The sequence below is a fragment of the Homo sapiens genome, chromosome 12 (assembly GCF_000001405.40).
Source record: "Homo sapiens chromosome 12, GRCh38.p14 Primary Assembly".
NCBI lineage: Eukaryota > Metazoa > Chordata > Mammalia > Primates > Hominidae > Homo > Homo sapiens.
Window position 1 is genome coordinate 43,259,016 of NC_000012.12, and position 14,676 is coordinate 43,273,691.

At 35.1% G+C, this 14,676-nt stretch overlaps 1 annotated feature.

The window, feature by feature from the left end:
• Window positions 13,211–13,798: an enhancer, noted in NCBI's record as "OCT4-NANOG-H3K27ac hESC enhancer chr12:43666029-43666616 (GRCh37/hg19 assembly coordinates)". NCBI's record gives its function as "activates a minimal SCP1, AML or CMV promoter by ChIP-STARR-seq in naive H9 embryonic stem cells {active_cell/tissue: H9 hESC(naive)}" and the evidence as "EXISTENCE:reporter gene assay evidence [ECO:0000049][PMID:30033119]".

Genomic DNA, 14,676 nt, shown 5'->3' on the forward strand with positions numbered 1-14,676 from the left:
TATTCTTTTAAGATTGATGTTTTCTATAAGCTTGCTTCTATTTCTTGCTCAATGGAAGGGATATTGGGTTGGATTAAATAATTTTCTTGTAGCATTTAGATAAGAATATGTTTATTTTCTTCTTTTACTTCTCTTATTCTGCCACTACTTACAGTTAATTGATCTTCAAGGGTTCTCCATTTTACCAGCTCATAGATACTGCCTAAATCTCTCTATTCATCCCAGTCTCCATTATTGTCATCCTCCCAATCTATTACTGGTCCTGAACACATTCTTTCTGTTTTATGAAACTAACTCTCTATAATGCAGTCCCTGTGAAGATTTCAAAGAGTAAATCATTCTCTTGCTCAAAACCTTTCAATAGATTCTCCATGTACTTTACATAAAGACGAAAATCCACAAGATGGCCCAAATTAAAGACTGCATGACTTGGGCTGTGCCACTCTTTTCAGAGTCAGGCATAGAAACTGGGCATATGGGAGTCCTGATGACTTTTGGCGCTATCTTTTCTATTCCGGAGCATTAAGGTTGGGCACATTACTGTGCTACAAAAACTACAGTTACTGTCCATTTCACTTGAATTTTTTATGCTTTTTTTTTGTTTATCTTTACTTCATAGAGTTGTACCAGTTTTGGTCTTTTATATGTACATTCATGGATATCATAACTGGAAGTCAAGGGAAATTGCTGTGATTGGGAGCTGGGGTCATGAACCAGCATTTCTGATTTGCCTTACTAAACTAGAAATCCTCATTGTTGTTTCAAAAGCCTGTAGTACGTTTCAGTCTTTGGAGGTCACGTATTAGATACCACTTAAAGCAAGGTCGTTAAGGTAATGGTTCCAGAGAAGTTAACTTTCTTCTGCTACCATATTTCTCTTTTTTGGGGTTTATTTGAGAGTCAGATTCAGGCCCTCAAAATACACAGACAGGAGGGGATCATATTCCCGAAACAAACCAAAATAAAGGCTTTGCTCAGCTAAGACCTGTTTCTGTATATATCAAACTTTACAGCTCAGTTGTATAAACAAGGATGTTATATGTTCAAATTATTGTATTTTATTATACAGCTTACATCTAACTTGAACTCAAAATATGAAAGCATTTCATTTTTTATGTGGAAATATTTACAGTCTGTACAACCAAAGACATTTACTTTGTTCCATGTTCAAACTATTTTCTGAGGTTTAAAATCACCAGAACATGATAAACTATGTTAGAGAAACAAAACTGAGAAACTAAAAGAAAAGCAGCAGGAGGAGAAGGGGACTAGGAGAACAACTGCACAAAACTTTAGACTTATTTTGAGAGAAACACATTACTGAATTGAATTCATCAGAAGGAGGCTAGCAAAATATTGAATTAATTAATTAGGCAGTACTCTCTCAAGAAAGCCACCATCCCTGTGCTGTCAGGGTTTGTCAGGAATTCCTGCAACACTTTTTCTGATAATACACAATTTCCCAAACTCCCTTCTTCACCTCTTAAACATATTTATTTTGTGCCCCATTTACTCTAGATGACTGTAAGCTAATTTTTAAAAACTGAACAATCAAATTATTTCAATTGGTTTTAATAGCTTAATGTTTTCATCCCATTAAGACTGCACTGCGGCCGGGCGCGGTGGCTCACGCCTGTAATCCCAGCACTTTGGGAGGCCAAGGCGGGTGGATCATGAGGTCAGGAGATCGAGACCATCCTGGCTAACAAGGTGAAACCCCGTCTCTACTAAAAATACAAAAAATTAGCCGGGCGCGGTGGCGGGCGCCTGTAGTCCCAGCTACTCGGGAGGCTGAGGCAGGAGAATGGCGTGAACCCGGGAAGCGGAGCTTGCAGTGAGCCGAGATTGCGCCACTGCAGTCCGCAGTCCGACCTGGGCGACAGAGCGAGACTCCATCTCAAAAAAAAAAAAAAAAAAAAAAAAAAAAAAAAAAAAAGACTGCACTGCATTCTCAATGAAATTACTCTAATGATGCTTACTGCAGGCATCACTGGAGGTCCCAGAGAGGTGCCTGGGACCCTCAGTCTTCATCATTGTCCCTTAAGTTGTACACATAAGCAGTCACTTAAGCAGACTACAGAATGTCACCCAGACCTACTAGTTCAAAACCTCTGCCCTACGTGTACACACCCTTGGGTAAGTGAACCTACCAGAGATAGAGAGGAGTGTTCTAGAAGATCAGCTAATCTAAAGTATTTCTGTACCCAGGTCTAGAAGCATTAATTACTACTAGTATTGCATAATTTGAGGGAAACTATGGAAATTTCCCCTTCTGCTGGCCCGAAATATACCAGTGCCACTCTACTCTCCTTCCCGAACTTGTCTGTGAGTGAATCTCAAATTCTAGAACTGAAGTTTCGTTAAGTATGCATTTCTTGCAATGCCAATCAAATCCAGATTTTAAATTTATGAACACCTGGGAAAGATGGCACATTAGATTACTAACAACAGAGTAGCATTGTGAGAAAAATAGGAGCCTGGAAAAGGGTTCGAAATATGTGGATAAAGTACAAATTAAGATGGAAAAAATGCAGAATGAGATATGTCTCTATTTTCCCTCTCTAAAGTATTTCTCCTCATCCAAAACTTTGAGCTCAATATAAAGTGAAATGTCCTTAGATGCTTAGAGTCATTGGAGACCCTCAGAGAACAAAGAAGGGGTGTATGTGTGTGTGTGTGTGCATATACAAGGAGGAAGAGGAAGGATGGCAGTTTCTGTATCTCATAAAATTACACATATTTGAAATTCTGCTTTCCAACGAATCACTGTCTCTTAATGCCAGAGAAGTAAGAGACACCTCCAGACACTCCACATAGTAGATTATTGTAACAACATCTTAAGAAGCCTCAGACAGGGCCCAGAGACAGAAAAATAAATACAGGAGTTTAAGTGCAGTTGGTTTCATCCAGGAACATCAGCTCAGCAGGGTTAAGACATGAAACAGACCTATGCTTCAAACATACCACTGAGTATCTAGACTATTTCCTGATATAAGCTTCTTGAATATAAATATCATAGTAATACAAATACACATACTTTTTACTAATGTCACTTTAACTGTTTCTGAGCTGTTTTCATAATTCTGAAAACACAGTGCACTTGGTTAATGAGAGTTACTTTTTGAGTCTCAATAAGAATTATGGCTAATGAAATTATGCTTTATAATTCCATTTAGGAATAAAATAATATTCTAAGAAAATGTGTATTTTATTTATGATCCTTTCTATTTTAATTTTCACTTTATACATAGACAAATCCTTCACAAATTAATGTAGTAGAAAACAGACAGCAACAGCTAAGTAACAACTTGGCCCTCATTCTTAACTGGGTGAAATTGATCTTATTTAAATGTGTCATTATTTAATGATGATAATGAATGACTGAAATGATCTCCTGTTTATTATTAGGAAATTTTAAGAATGTTTAGGTGTCATAAAGAGATAATTTTAAAAGCTCAAATTTTGCCATACAGAAATGAATATTGTTAGCATTTTAATATATTTTCTGTGATTCTGGGTATGTAGTTTTCTGCTTGTACGTGTTACTTTCTTTTAAATTTGCAATCATCCTGATTTGAACAAATAAATTTTTTAAATCTTATGAGTTAACTGGAAACATTTAATCACTAAAAAAAAATTGATCATATTTAGTAATAACAGTTAATTTTTAAATGTAATAGTGTTATTGAAATTATGTTTTAGAGATAAAGAGTGAATATTAGTAGTTGGAATGATATAATGCCTTGGGTTTGCTTTAAAATAATCCAGAGAAGAATAAAACGACATAGATTATGAATTAATAGCTATTGAAGATGAGTGACAAATACATGGAGGTTCATTACACTATTCCTTTAAAAAAGTTTAAAAATATCTTAAGTAAGTTATAGGTTATAATTAGTGGTATTATGTATACATATGTGAGTGTAGATATATACACATTCATAAACACTTTAACTTAATTTTCAATTAACTTAAATTTTCTATACCTTTATTTCTTTTTATGTCAGTTTAACCTATTAAAAGCTGAGATAGGAGTGTAATGTCTCTCAAAACAATTGTGTTTGGTTAATTTTTTTCTAAGGATTTTTATCCTTTCAGTCTTTCTTGCCTTAAGTTCTTTTTCTTTTCTTTCTTTCTTTTTTTTTTTTTTTTTTTGAGATGGAGTCACGCTGTGTCACCCAGGCTGGAGTGCAGTAGCACAATCTCAACTTTCTGGCAACCTCTGCCTCCCAGGTTCAAGGGATTCTCCTTCCTCAGCCTCCCGAGTAGCTGGGACTACAGGGGGGTGCCACCACAACTGGCTAATTTTTGTATTTTTTGTAGAGACTGGGTTTCCCCATGTTGTCCAGACTGGTCTCGAATTCCTGGGCTCAAGCCATCCACCCATCTCGGCCTCCTGAAGTGCTGGGATTACAGGCTTGAGCCACCTTGCCCGGCTGCCTTAAGTTCTAACTTCCACACTTGTTTTTTTTTTCTTTTTGTTTGTCCCTGCTTGATAATTCCTGAACATCCCTTTGTTGTGGTGGTTGTTGCTGTTAACATTCTCTGGCATTTTGTGTTTGAACTTAAAAAGTATTTAGTGTTTTCAGAAATGTTATCTGTTTCCCTTTAATTGAGGGTTAAAATTGATTAATTTTGTTCATAACTTTATGTTTAAAATTGAAGTTCTCATCCTGGGTTTTATTTGTTTTGCTCACTAGTATGTATGTGTGGACGGATTCACAAACACACACATACATACAACATATGGATCATTTTTATTTTCTTTTAAACTCCACAAGAATTTGGTAGTTGCATAAATCACTTTTAGTTCTACTAGTTATAAAAAGTAGGCATTATAAAACCTGAGGTGAGGGTTACCCCCATTTACTATGATGTGATTTTAATGCATTGTATGCCTATATCAAAATATCTCATGTACCCCATAAATATATACAGTGATTACATACCCATAAAAATGAACAATTAAAAAATTAAGCATTGTAAAAACATTGTAATCTTGTTTCTACAAGTTTGAAAGCCAGGAATGAAAATGTTTTGCTTAACTATATATGAGAAATTCAGCATATCTTTACTTCCCTGTCCATACTGTGCCCATTAGCCTTATTTGTTGATATAATATAGGCTTGGTTTCAAAATATTGTTATTAAATTGTTTATGTAAAAGGGCTTCCCTTTCAGGTTGTTTTGATGCAGAATTCATTTTGTAAAATGCACAGCAAAAATATCTGGACAACATGCTTTATTAATTTTAATATTCAACTGTAATTTCATATTGTGATATATACATCTTTTATATGAAACATTATAAGGTATATTTTGTAAAGCATAAAACACAGAACTCCAGTCTCATTTTATAGTGTTTATTCTTAAATTTATAGTACTTGTGGAATTTACTTTTTCAAATGATGCTATGAGAAACTGTGAGAGGTGAGGACACTTTCCTACTTATTCCATGAGGCCAGAATTATCCAAATACCAAAACCACTCGAAGACATGACAAGAAAAGAAAGCTATAGACCAATATACTTTGTGGACTTAAACACAAAATTCTTCAGAACATTTTAGCAAATAGAATTCAGAAATCATCTTAAAGGATGATAAATTTTTGTTAAGGATGATAAATTTTGTTTATCCCAGGGATATCAGGTAATTTTATAACTTGATATTCAATTATCACAATTGACCATATTAATAAACTAAAGAAGAAAAAATATATGATCTTCTCAGCAGATACAGTAAACCATTTGACACAATTCAACCTTCATTCATGATAAAGATGCTCAATAAACTAGGAATATAAAGAAACTTCCTCTACCTGATAAAAACCATTTACCATAAACATATAATATATAATGGTTTTCTTCTATAATCAATAACAAGTCAAGGAAGTTGGTTCTCATCTCTTTTATTCAACAATCTACTGGAAGTTCTAGATGAATTAGAAAGGTAGAAGTAACATTCTTTTTATTCATAAATAATGTGATTAGCTATGTCAAAAATCCTAATTCTCAAAAAGCTACTAGAAATAATAAGAGAATTTAGCAAGTGCTAAATTGTTTAGAATTTAAGATCTATATAGAAACCTTGTTACTACTGGCAAAAAATGGAAATTAAAAATATTTAAATACTATTTGGAATAGTATCAATAATGTGTACACATAATTTAATAAAACATATGCAAGATCTGGTAAGTGACAAAATATCATTAGACAAATTTAAAGAGAACTAAATATATAGGAAGTTAGAGCATGTATATGGTTTGAAAGACTCAATATTGTTATGATGTCACTTATCTCTATTTTGATCTATAGATTTCAGTGCAATTCTAACTAAACTCCCAGCAAGCTATATTTTAGAGTTTGACATTGTACCTAAAATAGAAAAGTGTGGAAATCATCCAATAGCCCAAACAATTGTAAAAAAAGAAAACAAAGTTGGAGAATCTATCTTTCCTGATTTTGACACTGGAAAGCTGGTAATTGAGACAGTATGTGATTGGCATGAGAATAAACATGTGGACGAAAAAAATAGAGATATCAGAAATAGATCCACAAGTGTACATAAACTCATTTTTGGCAAATGTTTCAAGGTAATTCAATGAAGAGAAGTTAGTTCTTTCAACAAATGATGCTAAAACAATTGATATCCATACGGAGAGAGAGAGAGAAACTGTGTCCTTTATATCACAAAATACTCAGATGTTAACTAAAAATAGGTCATAGACTTAAATGTAAAAGCTAAAACTATTAAAGTTCTAGGGAAAAAAACAGAAGAACATCTTTTGATCTTAGGGTAGCAAATATTTCTTAGTGCATAAAAAAGGATAAACCTTAAATAAAAAGAAAACTGATAATTTGGACTTCACTAAAAGTAAAAACTTTTGCTCTTTTTCAAATTACACTTAATGAAAGGCAAGCTATTGATTGAAAGAAAGCCATTTTCAAAATACATATCTGATAAAAGACATATTCCAGAATGTATACAGAATCTTACAATTCAGTAATATGATGACATGGCAATGGGCAAAAGATTTGAACAGACACTTTTCCAAAGATACATGAATGGCAAATAAGCGTATGAAAGGATACTTCATATTCTTAGCCATTAGAAAACTCCAAATTAAACCCAAAGTGAGATACCATTTCACACACACTAGAACGGCTACAATGAAAAAGACTGACAATACCAAATGTTGACAAGGATGAAGAGCACCTGGAACTCTCATACATTGTGGGTAGAAATGCAAAATTGTATAGTCACTTTGGAAAACAGATGAGTAGCTTCTTATAACGTTGAATATTCACTTACCATGTGACCTAGTGATCCAACTCCTAGGTATCTATCAAAGAGAAATAAAAACCTAAGCTTAGATGAACATCTACTGCAATATTTGTAGCAGCTTTATTATGATAGCCAAAATAATAAATGTCTATCAACTTTGAAATGGATAAATACATTATACTATATCCATAAAACGAAATACTTAGCAATGAAAAGGAACAAACTACTGATACGAGCAACAACAAAGATGGATCTCAAAAGCATTATGCTAAATAAAAGTACATACTGTATGATTTTGCTTATATGACCCTTGGGTGACAGAAGCAGATGAGTGGTTTCCAGAGGCCAGAGCTGGAAGAGAGAATTAACTACAAAAGGGCATAAGGAAACTTTACGCATTGATGGAAATGTTCTATATCATGACTGTTAGTCCATTTTCACACTGCCATAAAGAACTGCCTGAGATTGAGTAATTTATAAAGGAAAGAAGTTTAATTGACTCACAGTTCCACATGCCTGGAGAGGCCTCAAGAAACTTACAGTCATGGCGGACAGCAAAGGAGATGCAAGGCATCTTCTTCACAAGGCAGCAGGAAGGATGATGAACGCAGGAGCAACTACCAAACACTTATAAAACCATCAGATCTCATGAGAACTCACTATCATGAGAACAGCATGGGAGAAACCACCCCCATGATCCAATTACCTCCAGCTGGTCTCTCCCTTGACATGTGGGGATTGTGGGGAATATAATTCAAGATGAGATTTTGGTGGGGAAACAAAGCCTAATCATATAAATTGTGGTAGCGGTTACATGACTAAATGCATTCATCAAAACCTATTCAAATGTACATTTTAAAGTGTTGGATTTTATTGTATGTAAACTATAACTGAATAAAGCTGATATTTTTAAAGTAGAAAGAAGGCAAAATAAAGACACGTTTGAGCAAAAAAAAAAAAAAATCCTGTGAAGTCAGTGTTATTCTAAATAGAGCATGAAGAGCTTGAGCAAATTTACACAGAACCACAGCAATGAAGGCAAGCCTAGGAAATAAGGACAATAAACTAATATATGTATTAATTTTTAATAAATTCACAAAATATTTATTTAGTAGCTACCATGTCTGTACAGCATTGAGCAAACTAATTGAGATATAATAATTATTTAATCATGGCATTTATCTTCCTGCACCTCAAACTGTAGTTAAAAGATAGACCCATAAATAAGTAATTATTGTGGCATGAGGGTGGATGTTGAAAATATTTTGAAAGTGCTGTGTGAGTATAGTGGACAGAGCTGGGATTTGACTTTAGCCTAAGCCCCATCTTAGTAGGTAACTCAATAAATATTTAGTAATCTGTTGATTGAATTCGAATGCTCTTGATTGAGTATATGCCCTATATCTAGCACTGTCCATGTAGTTGCTTAGAGGAATTTGCCCCCTTGAAGCACTAAATTTTTGGTAAATATTTCATTTTCTCTGAAATTATTTGGAACTCCTGTTATTAAAAATGTTACCCTTATCTCTCACTTAGTTAGACAGTATGAACAGGAAATGAAAATGGAAATAAGATGCAAGATAATTGTTTTACTCTTGAATGTAAATATCTCAGTTTGCCTTGGCCTTTTGCAACTAGCAGTTGGCCACTGTGATAACATTGTTTGGTTGGCATTATCGCTCAGTTTCCTTCCTTGGAGAGAACGTTATGCGGATTGGCTGCAGCTGTGCTCCATCAGATTCTTTTCTTCTAGGCTCCAGGGCCCTTTGACCACTGCTCCTAATTCTCCTCCCTTCCTGCTCAAGTGTATTTCATCTACAATGCATTTAATGTGGAGTTTGACAACTTCTTTTTTCCTGAAAGAAGTATAAGTGCTTTTCTCTTTATGAAATATTTTTCATAGATTAATTGCTTCCTCTTTTATTACAAAATTTCTTGGAATGTCAAATGTATTGAGGAGCACAAGGTCTTTAACTCCCTTTGTCCCAGAGAAGTAAGATTCCCAGCAGACTGCAGATTCTTCCCAAAGTACTGTGGAGGCTTTGGCAAAAAGTGAACATTTCTCAAGTAGTTAAGTGATAATTCAGCAATTCTCATAGAAAATAAGACTCCAGTATTTTTAAAATCTATATTTTAACCATGAAATGTGTTCATCTTCCTCACAAAGATGGTATAGAAAGATACTTTTGAAGCTAGCAATCTTTCTTCTCTTCAAGTGAAATTATGGTGAACCATGTAAGTAAAGTTTATTTGTATATTTCTGACTATTGGTAAATAAAATTAAATGCACACACACATTTATCTTTCAAAGGAATAGCTTCATAACTTTAGTTACAAATACAATTGCAGCTCTTTTTAAATTTATTTATTTTTTTTCCTGCACTATTAGCAGATAGTCCAGTATGCGACCCATGTCCTAAAGGTCTATACTCTCTAGGTATTGTTATAAAGGGCTCTTGCTCCATTTTACTCACAGCAGGAGAAGATAATACCAATTTGATCAAGTCACAATTTTATTGTTTCTCACTGCCATGTGCTATTTTATTCTCCCAAACATCCTGACAGATAGTGCCTGTGCTCTGCTGTGAGAGGTGATTCCATTTCCTTATAGTATAATTGGTAAAGAGTGCCCCACACATGATCTCCTAAGGGTACAGCTTTAAGCACTCATCACTTTTAGTTCAAATTTCTAGCAGCTACCTCCCCATAAACCTAGAATCCTCATATTCCTTTTCTCCCTGGCAACCACATGCATTCTGCTAGAGCTACTTATAATCAGAACTATTAGAATTCCCTTTCAAAGGGACACTCCACTCAGCACTCCCAGAATGATTTCCTGTCCTCACCTGCACCTTGAGATTGCTGGCAACTTTTCTTGTTAAAACAGAGAAATGGACATTGGGAGGCCGAGGCAGGTGGATCGCCTGAGGTTAGGAGTTCGAGACCTGCCTGGCCAACATAGTGAAACCCGTCTCTACTAAAAATACAAAAAATTAGCCAGGCGTAGTGGTGGGTGCCTGTAAGCCCAGCTACTTGGGAAGCTGAGGCAGGAGAATCGCTTGAACCTGGGAGGCAGAGGTTGCAGTGAGCTGAGATCACACCATTGCACTCCAGCCTGGGTGACAGAGCGAGACTCCATCTCAAAAAAGAAAAAAAAAAAAAAGAAACACACACACACAAATTTAATCTCTGGTAGAACAATGCCTTTGATGGGCTATCTCATTATTTGTAAATGTGGTGGTATTATATATGTATGTATATGTATCTATGTACAGTTAGCTCTCGTATCCACAGGTTCAACCATGGATTTAATTGAATCACAAATAGAATACATTCAACAAATAATAATCAAATAACAATACAATAACAAACGATAAAAGTTTAAAAACAGTACAGTATGACTATTTACATAGCATTTACATTGTATTAGGTATTGTATATCATCTAGAGATGATTTAAAGTATATGGGAGGATGTCCATAGGCTACATGTAAATATTACATCATTTTATAGAAGGGGCTTGAGTATCTGGGAATTTGGTGTGGGGGTTCTGGAACTGATGACCCATGGAAACCAAGAAACAATTGTATGTGCATATGTATATTATAATGTATTTGTAGATAATGTATATTATTTGTGTGCATTAGTTTGAGCTTATTAATAGACTAAAAAATACCCATTAGTTGAATTCCTATTATGTACCAGCCACTGAATACAAAGGTTAATAAGGTATAATCTGCCTCTTCAAGAAATTAAAGACTCAAACAGTAAATAAGCTATTATAATATTGTACAGTAAATACTGTTTCAGAATATTCTACATGCATAGAATATAGATATTAGGGGCAACACGCAAGAACAAATGTTAGAAGAATGAATTTTGCTCAGGGAGGAGCAAATTCAATAGAATCACGGAGTTATCAGCAGATTTTACTCCATAATTAGGCCATGAATACATCACCTGGTATCCTTCTTTTGTCTTGGATTCCTGACATCAGTAGAGTTGTTTTGGGTTTTTCGTTTTTGTTTAAGTTTTATTTCTAACAGCACAAATTATATTCTAGTTAAGTTTAATATTTGGCTTTTTATTTCTGATATGGAGAAAAGCATGCAGTATAATCGCAATAGATATGTTTTTATAAGTTTCATGAATGGACAAATTGCATTATTGGCAGTGATGGTATGTGGAACCTGTATATTGTTTGTAGGGTTTTTTTTTAATCTAAGCATATTCAATTTAATTAAAGCTTCTGACACAATCAATTTGTTACATACAACAAGATCATTTGCCAATGAATGGGTTGACCTCCATTTAAAAATACAAAGTGGGACAGATGTGATGGCTCATACCTGTAATCCCAGCACTTTGGGAGGCCGAGGTAGGAGGACTGCTTGAGCCCAGGAGTTCCAACATAGTGAGAGCCCCATCTCTACAAAAAATTTAAAACTTAGCTGAGTGTGGTGGTGCGTACCTGTAATTGCAGCTACAGGGGAGGCTGAGGTGGGAGGATGCCTTGAGCCCAGGAGGTTGAGGCTGCAGTGAGCTGTGATCATGCCACTGAACTCCAACCTTGATGACAGAGCAAGTCGCTATCTCAAAAAAAAAAGTTTCATGTGTGGCTTTGTAATAATAAACATTAAGAAAGAAGTAAGCTTATCTCACTCTTTTTTATTTCATTGTAGCATAGCTCATTCTTTATAACACACCTATAGTGTGTGTTATATAGTGGCAACCACAGCAGAAGAGTCAAATGGTATCAACTCTATTCATGAGAATCTCACAACAAACTTTTCTATGATTATTAGGTTATTTTGACACATGAAATTATGATAAAAAATGTAAACTTTGCTATGTTTTCATTAATATTTTAGTAACAAGGAATTATTATTGCTTTTAAATGTTTATTCTCTTTTGGATTTTTATTATGAGTATTTAAATCAAAAGGGAAGAAGGAAGAAGTAGTAGAAAATGCATTTTATAATTTATTAGTACATAGGAATTTTAACCTACTTTTTGGAACCAAAAATTACTAGCCTTGTCTATTAGGTAGTTGTAGGAGATTTCACTTCATCAGATACTGAGCAAGACCAGAAATACTGTGGAAGCTGTTTATCCCTACTCTGTTTGTATGCAATTGTATAGTGAGTGAGCCTTCAACCACTACACAAACAGATCTTCACATATGAGACTTAAATGACTACCTATTAATTTAGCAGAACTTGAAAACAATTTTGAACAAAATGAATAAGCTAATGAACTTCCGTGATTTTATGACATCATCTGGGATGAGGTTAGGGAGGAGTTTAGGGAGACAGCAGGTTAAATTTGACCTCTACAATCTTTTACCTAATACTTCCAGTTTAATAACTTTATTCAAAATATTGGAATAAGATTTTGTATTATTCTTAATGTGGTACCACTTGAAAACCTCAATTTGATGGGTACCTATTTTACAAAGAAGAGCATTTTTAGGGAAGCGAGAAGTGTTCTAGTCTAAGCACTAATAAGGTGATTAAATCACAATGGACATGTGTAGGCAGCCTTGGGGGCACATGTATACTCCTAGCTAGAAGAGACTTTGGCAAGGGGAGGAAGTATTGGGCAATATGTTTATAGAACTCGTGATGGAGCCTCCAGGAAAATACCAACAACAATATTTTGCCCAACATTACTGTGAATCCTTTAATTTTTCTTTCTTCTAAGAACAGATTTAAAAGGGCATTTGGCATTTATTTTGTTTTGTTTTCAAGTAATAGCTACCTCATTAAACCTCAGGTTTGACAGTGTGGGCTCATATGCCAGGTTGTATTAATTCATCTTTGCCCTGTTAAACGGGAATAATTCAAAGAAACTCCCCAAAGTAAAACTCAAAGTGAAACTGACTTCCCAAAGTACTAAGAAATATTGTTCAGAAAAAATAAAACTTCAACATTTGGTACAATTTATTTCGCCCATCTTCTTGAAGCATATTCGTTTTATTAGCATTAAAAATTATAGTTGTGTCAGTTCTGCAGCTGACAGTGGTTTGGTTCAAACCAGAGTCAGTGGCAGCTGCAAAAATAAGGAAACATCTTGTCTGTTGCCATGAGAGGATTACAGTATAACTCACAGCAAGCCAGCTTTATGCAAACTATCTCAGGTTTGTCATGTAAAAATCAAAGTCACATGTCTCTACATGAGCGGCATTAGCTGAAAAACTTCCAGCCTACTAAGCAGAGATAGTAACCACAAAGACATGAGACTTTCTGCATTTAAAGGACAAACCAGTAGGGCATTCTTTTCTTGTACAAACCAGTAGGGCATTCCATCCCAAAAGCCTGTCCCATTCCTGCAGCTCTAATTGACTCTTCACCCCACATCAAGGACACTCTGAGGAGAAACTAGTTGGAGAATCGCTTCCAGCAGTGTGAGGCTCTCCCCTAACAACAGTGCAGTCTGCCCTTCTCAGGCCCCTACTGTTAATTCCTAACCCCTAGAAGAAGGATTTTGTTTTTGTTTTGTTTTGTTTTTGAGACATAGTCTCGCTCTGTTGCCAGGCTGGAGTGCAGTGGTGCTATCTCGGCTCACTGCAACCTCCACTTCCTGGGTTCAAGCGATTCTCCTGCCTCAGCCTCCCAAGCAGCTGGGACTACAGGTGCCTGCCACCACACCAGCTGATTTTTGTATTTTTAGTAGAGACGGGGTTTCACTGTGTTGGCCAGGCTAGTCTTGAACCCCTGACCTCAAGTGATCCACCCACCTCAGTCTCCCAAAGTACTGGGATTACTGGTGTGAGCCTCCGCACCTGGCCTAAATGATTTTCAACCCATAATCACAGCAAGGAATCCATTTTCATTCAGATCCTGTATAGATGTATGTGCATGTTATGTATATAAATATATATATACATATTTATATGTTATTTTAACTGAAGCAAAAACCTCAAGAAAAATATTCACCCTTAGTATTCAGTTGGTGCAAAAGTAACCATGGTTTTTGTGATTAAAAGTAACCGCAGCTTTTGCAATTAAAAGTAATTACAATCACTTTTGAACCAACCTAATATATGCAATGCACTCTGATAGTTTATATTTTATTCTATTTTAATTTTATACAGTTGTTACAACCCACCAAATTGACTTCATGACACACAAATTTGTCATGATGCACAGTTTGTAAAATACTGTCAGACTTCAGTACTTGTCATGTCCATTTGTGCATCAAAATCACCTGGGGATTATTCTCAAAAGAAGTCAGAAACGGGGAGAAGGAAACTGGAAGTGACTGCATTAAAGGCAGGCAGATATTTTCTGCCAAGTATTTGCTGTATGAACTTTGATAAGTGACTCAACCTTTCTGAGTCTCTTTCCTCACCTATTGAATGATGATAATGGCAGTCTTCCACATAGAGTCCT